This window comes from Homo sapiens, chromosome 6, assembly GCF_000001405.40.
Source record: "Homo sapiens chromosome 6, GRCh38.p14 Primary Assembly".
NCBI classification, from domain to species: Eukaryota; Metazoa; Chordata; class Mammalia; order Primates; family Hominidae; genus Homo; species Homo sapiens.
The window spans coordinates 161,138,602-161,152,617 of NC_000006.12; the positions used below are offsets into that span (position 1 = coordinate 161,138,602).

General features: G+C 50.4%; 1 protein-coding gene and 1 long non-coding RNA gene across 2 annotated transcripts in view; one reads left to right on the forward strand and one right to left on the reverse strand.

The window, feature by feature from the left end:
• The window catches only part of AGPAT4 (1-acylglycerol-3-phosphate O-acyltransferase 4), a 144,095-nt gene that overhangs the window by 8,635 nt on the left and 121,444 nt on the right, over nucleotides 1–14,016 (reverse strand). Inside the window, exons 6-8 of the mRNA NM_020133.3 lie at nucleotides 10,586–10,688; nucleotides 7,923–7,998; nucleotides 821–1,019 (exon numbers count right to left, since the gene is read on the reverse strand). Coding sequence (NP_064518.1) covers nucleotides 821–1,019; nucleotides 7,923–7,998; nucleotides 10,586–10,688 — 378 coding nt within the window. The remainder of the gene's footprint in view (nucleotides 1–820; nucleotides 1,020–7,922; nucleotides 7,999–10,585; nucleotides 10,689–14,016) is intronic.
• On the forward strand, nucleotides 1,015–10,719 carry LOC124901455 (uncharacterized). Its single transcript, XR_007059860.1, has 2 exons — nucleotides 1,015–1,865; nucleotides 2,477–10,719. It is a non-coding gene; the product is annotated as an uncharacterized LOC124901455 (long non-coding RNA).

Here is a 14,016-nt window from a genome sequence, read left to right on the forward strand (position 1 = left end):
TTTATAGTGAGCATACTGCATCTTTGTGTTTGACAGAAAATAACTGAGTCCTGTCCATTTGGAAGAAGCACGTGATCTCTGTGTGCTTGGACAATGTGCCGTCTCTCCCGGGCTCTCCAAAGCCTCAGAGGACGCCAGGCTTGGGGAGACAGGGCCTTTCACAGGGAAACCCCAAAGTCTTCCTTGGCTCCAGGAAGCACGGACCTGCTGTTCACAGGGCAGGAAGCAGGCACGACAGGCTGCCCCGCCAGAGGCAAGGAGCAGGGTGCACAGGGGCTTGCCACCAAGAAGCAGCAGTAGCCCGAGAATACCGGTCACCTGGAGCCAGCGCAGACCCATGAAAAGCTCTGTCGCCGAGTGTCTCCACTCAGTGTCATCCACCTGCAGCAAAGGAGAAGCCACAGGCGCCCCCAGAGGAAGGCAGGGAGCTGCCCATCCGTCCCCGCCAGGCTCCAGCACAGGGCTTTCTTCAGAAGCAGGAAATGATGCCAATGAGCAGAGCTGTCTGCGGAGGACAGGGAGGGAGCACTCCCAGCTGTCGGGGAGTGAAGTGGCAGCTGCATCACCACCCAACAGGGAACGTGTGGAATCCAGCCCCAGGTGGGAGGCTGGACCGTCCAGGCTGCGGAGGGGGTCCCAGGCCTGGTATTCGAGGGCCTCGCACTCATCCTGAAGTCTAATCTTTCCCTGTGATTGCAAGCTGAGCCTGCTCCTCATCCACGGCACAACTGCCTATACAGATGGCCTTCGTCCCAGCCCTGATGCCACCTCTCCCAGGGTGGTGCTGTCAGCACCCACCAGCCCCTTGCCCTCCACTCACCCACAAAGAAGACGAGGATGAAGCTGGCCAGCGTCAGGGAAGACCCGCTCCTGATCATGCTGACCAGGAACTGGAAGAAAGGGTAGAGCACCAGCGAGGCCCAAAACAGCCAGTTCACGAGGGTCCAGGGCCGCCGGGGGGGCACCATGGGCGTCTCTGGGAAGGTGCCCGTCCTGTAGTACTCCTCCTGAAAGGCATCCTGGGGGACAGGAAAGAGGACCCTCAGACGCCACACGGGGCTCGGTGGCAGGTCCCTCCCGAGGCCCTGCTTCCAAGGGAATCGCAGAGATACACAGGTGCCACCGGGGCTCGGCAGAACTGGGGTCTGCAGCTCCTTCCAGAAAGCACTTTGTAGGCAGCTGCTGTCTTCTCAAAGCTGCATCTGGCCGCCCCTCCCACAGGGACACTGGGAGTGGTGGGGCCGCTGCAGCTGTCACTGAGTGCAGGGCGTGGAGCATGAACCCTGGCGCCAGGCCAGCCTGGGCTAGGATCCACCCTCTGTGGGCAGGCACCTGCATCCCTGAGCCCAGGCCCCAGTCTGTCTAATGGGGCAGCAGTGCCTTCCACGATAGGTCGGCGGGAGAATGGAGTGGATGCTGCGCCGAAGCTGCCCGCAGGGGACACTCGGTGGAGACCTGGCCCGCAGTCAGGAGGAGCTCGCCCAGCCCGGCCCGGCACATGCCCCGCCTTCCCGGCCTCCACAGCCAGTTCACCTCGGGCAGCCCACCCGCACCTACCACCCTGTTTGCCACTGGAGGGCTCTGAGGGCCGTGATTCAAGGCATCATGAATGACAAAGGGCTGGAGGGCTGCTGGGTGTGGCTCTCAGAGGTGACAGCACACTCAGGACTGGGTGTCCAGGGTGACTCTTCTAAGTGATTGTTAGACCGTGTGAAAGGTAAACAAACAGGCTCATGTCCTTCCACTAAGCAGATCCTTAGTGGGAACCATGTACTCATCCACATCCACCCACAGGGTGTGTGTGTCACCGAGCAGCTTGCAGGGCAGTTACTCCAGAGCCTCATGGCGCTCCTTGCAGTCCCTGGGTGAGAACAGGGGACTCACGGCCCCACATAAATGCACTGCGAAAGAACGCGGTGGCTCTTCCCTGGGTGTCTCATGTCACGGAGCTCCCGCTCAGGGACTGGGGCTCAGCCGCAAGGAGCTGCTGAACACAAGGGAGGGACCCAGGAACCCAGGTCAGCAGGCGTGCTCAAGCGGCTGGGAGCTGAGCTGAGCCAGGACCTGGGGGGAACAAGGAGCTGTGGCACCAGGATGCCCGCTGGCCCGTCTAAGGGCAGGTCCTGGCCGTGAGGAGGGGCCAGGGCAGAAGCTGCCTGCAGGGAGCAGAGCTGAACCAGGCAGCCACAGGGAATTGCCCAGGTTGTATGGTGGGCAGCTGCCTCAGCTATTGTAAAAGCTGCACGTGGCCGATAGCATGCACGCCACACAAAAATGGGTGTGGGTCACAGTGAGGCCCAGTTTGTGTCCCATGAACTAGCCTAGTAATGTCCCAGTTCTCTAAGGAGTCGAGTTTTCTGGAAAATGAGCTTCCTTATAATTGAAACTTATACTACTTAAATGCTGAATATTTTCCTTTAACAACTTGAGATAGAAAAGTCTAAAGTATCTCATACTTTTCTTCTTTTTCATTCAGGGTGTACTGAATCATAGGCTTTCTTGGCCTCTCAGAGGCACTTTTAATAATAGTCCACACACTAGGCCATTTTGGAAGGAGAACCCCCAACCCCTTCCCTGGGCAGTTCAGGTGCCTCTGCTCTGTCCTCGGCCCCCTGCAGCCCATTAACAAGCCTGGTCCGAAGCGTCACTTGTCGCGTGACTCTGCTGTTGGACATCAGCCAAGAGAAGCCATGGGGGCTCTCAGGGGAAGTCACATCATCAAGCAACTGAAGAACAATCAACGTGTGTGCCAAGCACTCCTACCCTCAAGCAGTGAGAGCGATCAGATGGTGGAGGAGACAAGGAGGTGAGCACCATGACGGTCAGCAGCACAGGCAATGCCCAGAGAGGTGGCACCCAACTCTGCCAGGGAAGCAGCGGCATTCGCCTGCCCACCAGAACGGGGTGATTTTCTTATCCCAGGTTGGGGCCACAGGGCACCTGATAACTAGACAAGGGGGGTGATATTTTTGTGCCTTGTTTTTTTTTAAAAAAAAAACAGCTTTCTTAAGATGTCACTTACATGCCATAGAACTCACCCATTTTAAAAAATGGGCAAATGTGGCTTTTGAATTTATTTTCCTTAACAGTCTTTATAGTGCTTTTTTACAGTAATATCACAAAGGGGAACTCACCATGGTGCCTTTTCTGTCTTGTTTCCAGAAAGACATTTGCTAGGCCAAGATTGTTTTATTTGCACCTCTAGCAAGAAGAAAAAAGCACTCCCTTTTCTAGGAGCTTCCCAACTCAGAACTTCCCATTCACTTTATTTTATTTTTTGAGACAGAGTCTCACTCTGTCGCACAGGCTGGAGTGCAATGGCACGATCTCCTCTCACTGCAACCTCCGCCTCCCGGGTTCAAGCAATTTTCCCACCTCAGCCTCCTGAGTACCTGGGATTACAGGCACCTGCCATCATGCCCAGCTAATTTTTGTAGAGATAGGGTTTTACCATGTTGGCCAGGCTGGTATTGAACTCCTGACCTCAGGTGATCCTCCTGCCTCAGCCTCCCAAAGTGTTGGGATTACAGGCGTGAGCCATTGCGCCCAGCCCCATTCACTTTAAAGTTTTCTTTGTCTGTGGTTTAAAACACTAAATCTCATCCCCTCCCCTCACTTATGGCCCATGACATTGCCACAGGACCTCCCACTGACTATCGGGGAGAGAACAGCACCGCCAGCTCTGGCCAGACTCCAGGCTCTGGCAGCAGAATGTCCGTGGCCCATCTTGGTTGTGGACCCGTTTTGTAATAAAATTTGCCCCGCAGGGAAAGGACTCGTGTTTTTTGTTTTTGTGTGTTACCGTGTGGCATAGTATAAAGTTGGAACTGGGAAATGTAGTTATTGAATGAAGGAGAGTTGGTTTGTTTCCAGAAAGAAGCATCAACCTACAAGCCAAGAGGAGAACGAGATCCTATTGAGAGGCGGCAGATCCCCGGACGAACGCCCCCTGCAGCCCGCAACAAAGGCACTAGGGAGGAAGCGTGCGAAGGAGACGTCCACACAGCACGTCCGCTCAGCTTTCCCAGGGCCCAGGAGAAGAAAGAAGGGAGAAAAGAACGGGAGGAAGAACAGGAAAGAACGAAGAATAGAAGAGAAAGTTGAGGAACAGAGAGGAAGAAGCGGCTCCTCTTAGTCAGCAAGTCTGGGCGGGGAGAGGCTCTGTGAGAAGCGCTCGCAAGCCTTGGTCTCAGCCCGCAGACACCACCCGAGTGCACGGCCAGGACTTGCAAAGGACTTACCATGGGAGCCAAGCCTTGAGGCTCCCTGCTGCCCTTCTAAGGAGCAATGCCCTTATGGTTTAAGTGAAAAAACAATTGCCAGTCCCCAAAATGGTTCTTGTCCTTGAAGGCCAGAGCAGGAGAGCACAGTGTTTCCCACGGGCCACCATGCCTGCACCCTGAACTCTGCACCCCACCCAGAGCTGCTCCCGACCTTGGCCTCCACAGGACGGCTCTGAATGTAGCTGTCCTTCACTTATTTCTCTTTAGAGACAGGGTCTTGCTCTGCTGCCCAGGCTGGAGTGCAGTGGTGCAATCATAGCTCACAGTAACCTTCAACTTCTAGGCTCAAGCAATCCTCCCACTTCAGCTTCCCCAGTAGCTGGGACTACAGGTGTGTACCGCTAGGTGCAGCTAGTTTGTAAAATTTTTTTGTAGAGACGGGTTCCCATTATGTTGCCCAGACTGGTCTCAAACCCCTGGCCTCAAGTGATCCTCCAGCCTCAGCCTCCCAAAGTGCTTACTCCCAAAGGGATTACTGGCATGAGCCACTGTGCCCAGCCTCACCTATTTCTTAATTTGCACTATTAATGGCCAAGTTATAGTCCCTTCTGCAAATGTCAAATTACAACCTGAAGAAGTACTTTAAGTTAGAAATGAAAAGTTAGAATCTGTTCACCCCATACAATTAAGAAACCGTGATGGCTATCGTGACCTCCCTGGAAAAAAGGGGGTTCTGAGGTTGTAGGTTCAGCCTCAGAGCGAGTTTACCTGGGAACTGCTTTTGTCCACAGAAGATCACACAAGGGCATGAATGGTTTCTCAAAGCCTTCCAACAACACGAGTCCCAAATGCTGACGAGCAAGAAATACTGTGCATTTTTCATAAAGCTAAACTAGGTCCACTCAAAGGATGGCCCTGTTTTCAGAGATGGTGCCTTTCCCATATTAAAGAGTATAACTGTGTCAGTGGTAGATGGCGAGTTTCTCTTTATTTATGTCCATGCTTGGAAAGACCAGAATGTTGGCACACCTCTGTTGGCTGCCTGCCATTCCCCTCCCATTTTGCAGAAACTTTACTTGTCCATGAAATTGAAAAGTCAGAGAACTACTGCCCTAAAATCCCAAGGTCAAAATCAACAGAACTGTCTTTTGACATACACCACACTTCTGACTGCAAGGTTGATCATTAAAATGAAATCCCACTTTGACAAACTGGGTCGGGCACCCAGATTTGGGGCACGTAAAGCTTTAGATCTAGGCTCCTAGCAAAATAGGCTGATACAGAAAGGAATTGTCCCTTGATGTCTATTCACCACTCTGCTTGGAGAAACCATGCACCACTTCCACTTGCTGCTCAGCGATCTTCTCGGAAGGGCAAAGGGCCAGCCTCCCAGGCCTGCTCACAGACACATACTGCTTAGAGAACTCGGTGTCGCCCCAGCCCTGCACGGAGAGAGAAAGGGCCTGGACTCCAGCACCTGGCTTTGATCAGTGAGCTGGAAAACTGGGTAAATCACTTCATCTTTCGGACCTGAATTTCCTCATCAGTAGTGTAAGAGCTTTGGAGTAGATGATCACTTTGAGAACCCTACCAAGTTGAACACTATCATTTAAATGTGAACATAGTTTAGAGGAAAACACCCTAAGAGACTTTTAACAAGAAGGAGATGTGCCTCTCAGCTTGGTTTACACGATGACCACACTCTGCCTGAATACAGGGGAGGAAGGGCCCGTTGAGAAAAATCTCCTTTGCCTTGATGGGCTTGAGGGCCCACGTTTATTGTAGATTTGTTTGTGTGGCTCTTTACAAAAGAGGCTCATTTTCTAAACCTTTTCTTAGCATACTCTGCTTTCGGCTAAAAGTAACATTTTCGGCTGGGCACGGTGGCTCACGCCTGTAATCCCAGCACTTTGGGAGGCCGAGGAGGGCAGATCACAAGACCTTGTGAGATCGAGACCATCCTGGCAAACACGGTGAAACCCCGTCTCTACTAAACATACAAAAAAATTAGCCGGGCATGGTGGCGGGTGCCTGTAGTCCCAGATATTTGGGAGGCTGAGGCAGGAGAATGGCGTGAACCCAGGAGGCAGAGCTTGCAGTGAGCCGAGATCGCGCCACTGCACTCCAGCCTGGGAGACAGAGTGAAACTCAGTCTCAAAAAAAAAAAATAAAAAAAGTAACATTTTATATGCTGCCTCAATGCTTAGACCAGAAAACAGAGCAAGAAAAATACTGCCTCATGCATGAAAACAGAAGGGGGAAATTCATATGGTTTTCTGTTTCTCTGTCGGGGCACATATGTGCATCGGTGCAGAACCTCGATAACTTAGAATCTTGTTGTTAAAAAGCTTCAGGCCTCAGACCATCTCCATCAAAGCCATCTGCATCAGAAGCAGTTTGCTGGAAGTACACATTTCTAGGTTCTACCTCTAACCTGCAGAGACAGAATCACTGGGGTTCGGGCCTGGGAATCTGCACAACTCATGCTCTAATGACAAGGTAAATGAGTCCATACATACAATTTGTAATTTGTGTATTTGTAAGGGGATACCAGAGAGCAATGCCCATAACCTACATAGGAAAGAGGCCCACATGCCAGCTCTGTGCAGTGATGGTATAAAGGCATCATCAGGGAAAAAAGGTATCAGGATCTTGATTCCAAAAACTGAGCAAACTTACAAGAGCTTCTCTGCTAAAGGTGATGGCAAGTCTTTTGGACTGAAATTTGTCTAAAGGAGGCAAATTTAGCTTATCCATCATACTAGAGTCTGTTAAGAGTCTTGTGGACTAAAATCCTAACACATTCCCAAGTGTAGGTAGGGTTAAAGTTCTTATTCAGCTGCAGAGGACATCCTGCAAAGCTCTGGGTAATTCTCTCCTTTGAGAAACAGAGAAAAACAGAACCCATGAGAGCCAGCCCGCATTTATGGAGTTTGAGGAAAAGGTCATCAGAATCCTATAGAATATATCTGATTCTAGGGAATGACTTGTTTGGGTTTAAAACATATGGTGAATCAGAAATAATTTTTTACTGGTTAATGAGACCTGGCCATAAAAATGCTTTTCTCACCAAGGGGAAGCTAAGCTTCGCTCCTTCATAAGATCCAGTAGTTATGAGACTCCCTTCCTTGCATATGCCTTTGGAGGAGAGAAACCAATGAAAGCAAAGGCCTTGCTCAGAGAAAGGACAGAACAAGTAGGGGGACCCTGGAGAACTGGACCACAGACAGGAACAGGACAGGGGGCACCACAGCAGGTTCGAACCCAGCCAAGACCAAGGTGGATCCTTGTAGGGCTTTATCCTGCTTATTCTGGAGATGCTTTGAGATCAGATTGACAACCAAATTGTTGATCCAGAAGCAATCAAGACCATGTCCATTGCTGCGGAGAACATCCACCCCACAAGCACATCCTGCCTTAGGACCAGAGGCAGGAAAATACGAGCAGGGGCGATTGGGGCCATTACTTCTCCCTTGGTCCACTACACCTAGAGAATAGCTTCATTGTGTGTGTGTGAACCCTCCTTAAAAAATATTTTGTCATGTTCTTCATTGCCAAGAGAGGGTCAGCTCCAGACTCACTAATAACTGGCTCTGTGAGATCTCGCCCACCGGAGAAAGGCCTGCTACCACACAACACAGCCACACGGCGCACCCACAGCTGCAACGTGAAGGGACCCCTGGCACCCAGTGCACTGACCTTCTCCTGGTAGAGCTTGTGCAGCCAGGCCGAGCACTCGTCATCGTCTTCAGGGATGTCTTCCAGTGGGATCCTCCTGCAAAGGCAGAGAGCAGCTAGCAGAGAGGAGGTGATGCCCCCCTACAACATACAGTTTCCAGTAACGGTGCTGCCGTTTTTTGTTTTTATCTGGGTCACCTAAATAATGTGGAACTGAAGAGAGTAATGCAAGTGATAGAAAGAAGGGGCGTTCCACATCCACACTGGAGAAACAGGCAAAAATGCAATTATGACCCACGAAGGAACAACCCAGGGGCCAATTCAATGGCACAGACAGATGCTGTGAGAACAGGGGACACCTGCCTCATTCCGTCTTCCCTCCCACCTCACAAAAAGGCCCCCAAAACCTGATATTTGCCTCTTCCAAAGAGGACAACACTGCCTCAGTTTCCACACGAGACAATCCAATATACACAGAATCGATGCATCAGAGACAATAACCTAGTAATTTCTTCTTAGCCAAGTAACCAACTTACTGGTAATGGCAGATTATCTCCCATCAAATGATTCCTCTGGCCTCTTGGTTAGCCTTGAGGCAGACTTTCTGCAAAGGTTTTGACAAGTCAGTGATGTGGATGGTGGGGAATTAAAGTTCTCCCAGATGGAAGTAGCCAGGGCATCTTCCCCAGGCTCCATGGCTCAGACAGGGGTCTTGAGTCACTGTGCACCAGCGAGAGCTCAGAGACTTGGGTGGCTCTGGGGACTGGTGCTGGCAAGGGCTTGCCACTCGATCATTTGCAAAGAGCCCATACTGAACACAGGGAGAAGTCACTCTGCCACCTTTGCCCTTCCTATTTGTTCTCAGGTTGATGGCTCTTGTGATTTCAAGGGACGTTCATTTATACTCAATTTTGTCCATGTCAAAGTCTGCATCTGGCTTGATTTCTCAGGTCACTTCACTCCCTTCTATGGCCTAAGAATATCTTAGTAAGAAGATTTGAGAGTTTATCTATCACACTAGAGTCTGTTAAGAGATAAAGGATGGGATTCCATCTTATAACAGATTACAATGAGCCACTTCCTTTTCAAGGCAGTATTGTACAGAGGTAAGTTTTTCACATAATTAGAACTTACCCCATAAGCTCCTCCGGAAATATTCTTTCACCTTTTCTGTTCCTACGCACACTGCACTTCTCTGGATCCTCTACTTCTTTGCTGTTTGATCTACTCTGCTTTGGAAATGAGATCTCTCAAGTCTGCCTAATATTTCTTTATTTGGAGAGTAGGAATGTAGTGAGTTTTGCCCTTTTCAGCAACTTGACATTATCGCCCTTGATGTTTCAGTGCTTTGTACTGATGTGTGTTCAGAAACATGCCTCAATCATTTTTAATGGGCAGCTACAACAAAAAGATGTGTGTTGAATAGCATCAATGCTAACCTTCCTCTGGGGTCAAGAGGGTGATCTGGCTTCGGTGAGTGAACGTGCCAGTACCATTTTTGGGCTGATTGTCACACATGCTTTGGAGAGTTGCAGCTACCTGAGAGGTGAAATAATCTTGTACACATCTTGGGGTTTTCCCAAATAACTGAGCCCAGCTGGCCATTGAGTGGAGCTCCTGCCAGCTGTCAGAGAACATGGGGAATAAAACCTCACTTTACTCCTAGGAGAAGGTCTAAAGGTCTCCTTCGGGCAGGTGGGTGATTCTCCTGCCTTCATATGCCACAGAACTGAGTCACAGGGCAGACTGTTGCCTGCACCATCAGACAAGAAGTCAGTGATGATGACGATGCTGTCCTATTTTCATGGGAAAGCCAGAGTCATTTTTAGATCAGAAGCTACTTAACTTTGGCCGCCAGTCCACCAAAATATCTCCCAGGAAAGCCTGGACGTTTGGTGTGGCCTGGTGGGAATGTAGGGCCCCTGGATTTTCAGGGTGCTGTGTTGTAATGTGGCTTCTGTAAGGTCTTGAATCAGAAGGTTATACGCCCCTGGATTAGTTCTCCATTAGTGGGCATTTCAGATTCTCTTGATTAGCATTCAGAGAAGATGATCCACAGCACAACAAACCAATACGGTCCCTGACCCGTCACACTGGGTTTTAATGCATGAACTGCCATTGTGTTTACTATCTGCAGCACCTTCCAATTCTGTTTCCCACTGATTTTGGTGACATTCTGGAGGTGTTCAGCCCATTCTATAAGCAGGCAGAGAGAACTAGTTTGACTAATATGTTCTGGAAGTGTCTTCAATAAAATCATTAATAGCCTGGAACATAACACATAAGTGAGACACTGCAAGAGTTCTGCATTTGTGTCTAGACCGCCTTATATAAATACACATCTGTGTGTATTCCATACAGCAGACCCATCGCCCACGAAAAGGGTCAATAACATATTCTCTTCACACCAACACCAAAATAATTATAAAATACAGCCTTCCATTTGTTCAACCTAAGCTCTTTGATACGAAAAAGCTGGTTACAGAGGATCCGGAAGGAGCTGGGACGGAAGGAGACTTCAGCAGATCATTCCAATAGTAGGATGTGTCAAATTCAATGCAAAACAGACTGCAAAGAAGTCAGTGTGACCCAGGGATCCCTGGAAGAAAGTCTCTAGGTCATTTGTGATGTGTTTACTTTGAAATGGGCACTGTCTTTTCTGGAAAGGAAACAGTTCGACTTACCTAACATACAAATCTGCATGGTATTTCTTTCCGTTTAGGACTCCCAGCAGTGTTGGATTTTCATTATTTCTGAAATTGAGTGTACAGTCATATACAGCTGAAACTATAAAAAATAAAACAAATACAAAGCAGTATATAGCGTGTGAACCCAATTTTGTTCTGTAGATACACACATTGGAAGACAATAATCAAATGGCTAACTGCTTATCTAGAAATGGTGTGGTCAGATTTCTTTCTTTCTATATGGTCCACATGTTCTACACTGAATGTGTATTATCTTTTGTAATCATAAAATCCCACTAGAACTTAGTAATAGAAAACAGGGTCATTGCTGAAGTCAGATCATTTTTTTCTTTTCTTTCTTTTCTTTTTTTTTGGAGATGGAGTCTCACTCTGTCACCCAGGAGTGCAGTGGTGCAATCTCGGCTCACTACAACCTCTGCCTCCCGGGTTCAAACAATTCTCCTGTCTCAGCCTCCCAAGTAGCTGGGGTTACAGACACCCACCACCACGCCCAGCTAATTTTTGTATTTTTAGTAGAGTCAGGGATTCACCATGTTGGTCAGACTGGTCTTGAACTCCTGACCTCAAGTGCTCTGCCCGCCTCAGCCTCCCAAAGTGCTGGGATTACAGGTGTAAGCCACTGTGCCCAGCCCAGATCACTTTTAAAGCAATACTGCAAAGTCAGGTCTAGAGGTACTACGACGATGATTTGTAACTTTCTAATGTGCCCAGCCTATCATTTCAGTCAAGAAACACCGAAATTTGAACAAGTGTGGATGATAAGAAAAATTATTCCAAAGGAAAGTAAGGATGTGTCTCAGTTACAGCAGCATAACCATTCTATGAGCATTATTTTCCCCTAGAAAAAGAAGGTAGCTACAAATTATCCTAGGAGAAGATACTGATGAGAAACTCCTTAAGGAATTGGATTGTAGTCAGTTGAAGCTTCTTGGATCAAAGGATGAAAGAATATAGGAAGGAACGAGTGAAGGAACAGAAGAGATAAATGCACAGTGGAAAATGGCTACTTGCTGAAGTGTAAGAGCACCAGACGGTAGGAGGAACGGGTGGGAACCCCAGCGGCTGCCACCTTTTCCCACCGGTGGGATCTTCTCTTGGGCAGCTGGGGCTAGGTCTTCTCCTGGAGAAGGGAGCCTCTGTCACACAGCTGCTGAGATGATGGAGGTCAGGCACTTACTGCAGGGACCAGCACATGGTTTGTGTTCAATAAATGATGAGCCAGACACTTCACTGGGAGCTTTACATATGTGCAAGTATTAATAAAAGGAGTGGGAGAATGGCAGGAAGGAGGAAAGGCCCTTGGTCTGGTTGGGAATATGTGGAACCAAGATTCAAAAACAATAAATCACCATCTGTTTTCTTCTACCTGCTGCCTGACCACCATGCGGGGTCTGCAGGTCCACTATCTGCTGCCCTGCAGGAGAGCCTGGAAGTGGGGCCCGGAGTGCCCGAGACCACTCACCCCCGCCTTGGGGCTGAAGGCGGGACTGTTCTCCTGAGCCCTCCTGAGGAGTAGCTGCCTGGTCAGGGTGGCTGGGAGAGAACCTGGATGCTTATCACATTTCCCAGGCATTTTAAAGCATAAATGCGTATCTACAGGAACAGCTGTTCAGGCTGTGTGGACCATGACTGTAGTGTCCTAGGGCTTCCCAGTAAGAAGGGGCCACAGAGCTCACGTAGTTCAGCGGTTTTGACACCTCCTTTCCTCCAACCTGTTCACACAGGGACCCATGCAGACAACAGAAGAGGCTGACTCTGGTTAAGCAAAGGTGGGGAGAACCCACGGGTTCCCCAAAGAGCCACCTAAATATCAGTGACTTGTCCAACTGTCTCATTTTCCAGAGGAAAACCTCAAAAAAAGTGTCTTGAATGGAGAGCCAGCCTGATTCTAACTGCAAGGCGCATCAGAAGGAGTGAGAGCAGCCGCTGCCAGCCCCCGCCAGCCAGGAGCAAATCCCAGCTCGCCATGTACTGGCTGAGTCACACTGCGCCAGCTCCTTAACTTCTCTGAGCCCCAATGTCCTTATCTGTGAACCGAAAGCAAAAAGAAAAAGCAATCTGCCTTCCTGAGTCCTGTGAGGACATCCCATGTGCACAGTGCGTACAGGGCCTGGCGTGCCAGACGCGCCCGAGACCGGTGTTGGCTGTTCTTGGAGACAGCCTTGTTAACTCTCCGTGATGAACAGCATAGAGCTGGACGGCCTTGCGAGGCAAGACTGAGGCAAAGCTCAGTTAGGGAGCCGCGCTGGCCCAACCCAGAGGGGATGGATCAGGAGGGGGACACGTAGCCCTGCAAGCTGGGCAACCCCACCAGGGGCAGAAGGTGAGATGTGCAGTGGGAGGCAGGGGGCCCCTAACAAGAGCAGCCTTTGATTAAATGTTTATCATGTACCAGGTGGGATGCTGAGCCCTTTACCCAGCTTTTCTCATTTAATCCTCCTTGCAGCCCTAACAGATTTTGCAGAACTCGGAGCAAACTTAGGATCAGAGAGACAAGGTCACTTGCCCAGAGTCACACAGCTGGTCAGCAGAGGAAACAGGATTCAGTGAGGTCTCCTGATCAGGGAGTGCACAGGGTCTTGACGCTGCTGGACAGTGCAGAGCGCAGCAGCCTGGGAGGTGGAGCGGGGGACGAGCAATGGGGGCATCCTTGGCCCTGGGGCCCAGGGTCGGTGTAGAGGCAGGGACTGCAGGGAGCAGGATAATTCTGGCCCTTGGGCTGAGCCCAGAGCAAGAGAGACATTTAGGCAGCTAGTGCCCCTCTGTGCCGCTGACCTTCTAAGAGGCTGGGCAGAGGGGAAGGACCTCGGAGGTGGCTGGCCCGGTGGGCCCTCGGTTCTGCAGGCCCAAGTGAGCTGCTGAGACTCCAGAGCCTGCTTTTCTCTCTCCTCTCCGGGAGTAAGAGCTGCCTGCCAGGATGTTGTGGGGATTGAAGGTGACACTGTGTGGAGTACATGGCATTGTGCCAATAGAGGTCATCAAGGAACACTGGTGACCAGGAGAAGAGGGATGAGGAAGCAAGGGAAGAATGTGGGGAAGAAGAAACTGGTTAACAGGGCTAAGGGCAGGGCAGGCACACAGAGGGGCGAGGGGGCCAGGGGCACAGCCCGCCTGGCCTGGGTCCCGGCAGCCCCAGAAGGGAGCGGGGCTGGCGCTGGCCCGGGTGTGCAGCAGGGTGTTAAACAGGCAGCAGAGGCCAGCAGGGAGGGCTACCCAGGGCCTTCAACCACCGCTAAAGCCGGTGGGTCACCTGGGGACTTTCAGAGGTACAGATTCACCAACTCTGTTGCTCCAGAGGTCCTGGTAGGGGGTCAGCCAGGGCTGGAGAAACCAAGGGGCCCCAGATGCAGGCCTGGGGAGGAGTTCGGGGCCCCCTGCCCTTTGCCTCAGAAGGAGGAGAGGAGACA